We start from the raw sequence: 1,689 nt of genomic DNA on the forward strand, positions 1-1,689 counted from the left end.
ACTTGATATATCTTCAAATACTTTGCTGCTGAGACAAGAGAATCTACCAGTGTCCTTCCTAGGGTTAAAACACAGGGGATCAAACCTCCCAGATGATTACTCCTCCCACTTTGACCTAGTATTCAGCACTTCATTGCAGCTTCTCTTTCCCCAAACAGCCCCAGTTTAGTAGTTCAAAGGTTGAGAATTTTTTTCTCTAAAGGTCCAGATAGTAAACACTTTCAGCTTTGCAGGCAATATGGTCTCTGCTGCAGCTACTCAACTTGCAGTTGTAACATGAAAGCAGCCACAGACAACATGTAAACGAATGAGTGTGGCAGTGTTTCAATAAAATTTTATTCACAAAAAAGATGTTGGCACAGATTTGGCCCGAAAGCTGTAGTTTGCCCACTCCTGCACAAATAAATAATGTAGCTTTTTTTTTGACATTTTTATGATAAATGGCAAAGAGGGTTTGCATCACACAGTTCACAGAAAAACTCAATTAAAGCCCCCATTGAAATTCTCATTTCTTTACTCCAGTAGCCCCAGGTCTCTTTTCTTTTTCCCTTTGTACTACAAATCTTTCAAAGAGCCCAATATTCTCCAGAGTATTCAATTCTTGCTCAAAGTATTCAAGCCCCATTAAATAGTTAACAATACCCATTGTCCTTTAAAAGTGGTTTCAAGGAGCATTATGGTTCTTGGAATGTGTCTATATTTGTCAGCATTCTCCCTCTTGAGAAATAGAACCTAAAAGATAACACACACACACACACACACACACACACACACACACACACACACACACACAGAGAGAGAGATTATAGGAATGGGTTCACACAGTTATGGAAGCTGAGAAGTTCCATGATCTACGCTGTGTAACCTGGAGAACCTGGAAAGCTGGTGGTGTAGTTCAGTTTGAGTCTCAAACTAACAGAAGCCAGTGATGATGTAACAATCAGTTCAAATCTGAAGGCTTCAGAACCAGGAGCTCCAATATCTGAGGCCAGGAGACGATGTGTGTCCCAGCTCAGAGAGGCTGCATTCACCTTTCCTCCACCTTTTTGTTCTATTGGGGCACTCAAAGGATCGGAAGATGCCTGCCCACATTAGTCATGGTAGGTCTTCTTTACTCAGTGTACAGATTCAAATGCTAATTTCTTCCAGAATACCCTTCACAGAGACACTCAGAAGTAATGTTTTACCAGCTCCCTGGCTGTGCCTTAGCCCAGTTAACTTGACATATAAAATTAACCATCATGTGTCCCTTGAAGGCCTTGCCCTCTACTCGGAAATTACATTAAAAATACAATGTCCATGGGCTGGGCGTGGTGGCTCACGCCTATAATCCGAGCATTTTGGGAGGCCGAGGCAGGTGGATCACCTGAGGTTGGGAGTTCGAGACCAGCCTGACCAACATGGAGAAACCCATCTCTACTAAAAACACAAAAATTAACCGGGCGTGGTGGTGCATGCCTGTAATCCTAGCTACTCAGGAGGCTGAGACAGGAGAATCGCTTGCACCCGGGAAGCAGACGTTGCGGTGAGCCGAGATCATGCCATTCCACTCCAGCCTGGGCAACAAGAGCAAAACCCCATCTCAAAAAACAAAAAATGCAATGCCCAATAATCATATGGAAATCAACATCCAATAATCATCAGGAATCGCAAATTAAAAATTCAATCAGATATTGCTACATACCCACT

General features: G+C 42.7%; 1 annotated feature.

Moving 5' to 3' along the window:
• Window positions 301–842: an enhancer, noted in NCBI's record as "NANOG hESC enhancer chrX:30517192-30517733 (GRCh37/hg19 assembly coordinates)". NCBI's record gives its function as "activates a minimal SCP1, AML or CMV promoter by ChIP-STARR-seq in naive H9 embryonic stem cells {active_cell/tissue: H9 hESC(naive)}" and the evidence as "EXISTENCE:reporter gene assay evidence [ECO:0000049][PMID:30033119]".

The sequence above is a fragment of the Homo sapiens genome, chromosome X (genome assembly GCF_000001405.40).
Source record: "Homo sapiens chromosome X, GRCh38.p14 Primary Assembly".
Classification (NCBI taxonomy): domain Eukaryota; kingdom Metazoa; phylum Chordata; class Mammalia; order Primates; family Hominidae; genus Homo; species Homo sapiens.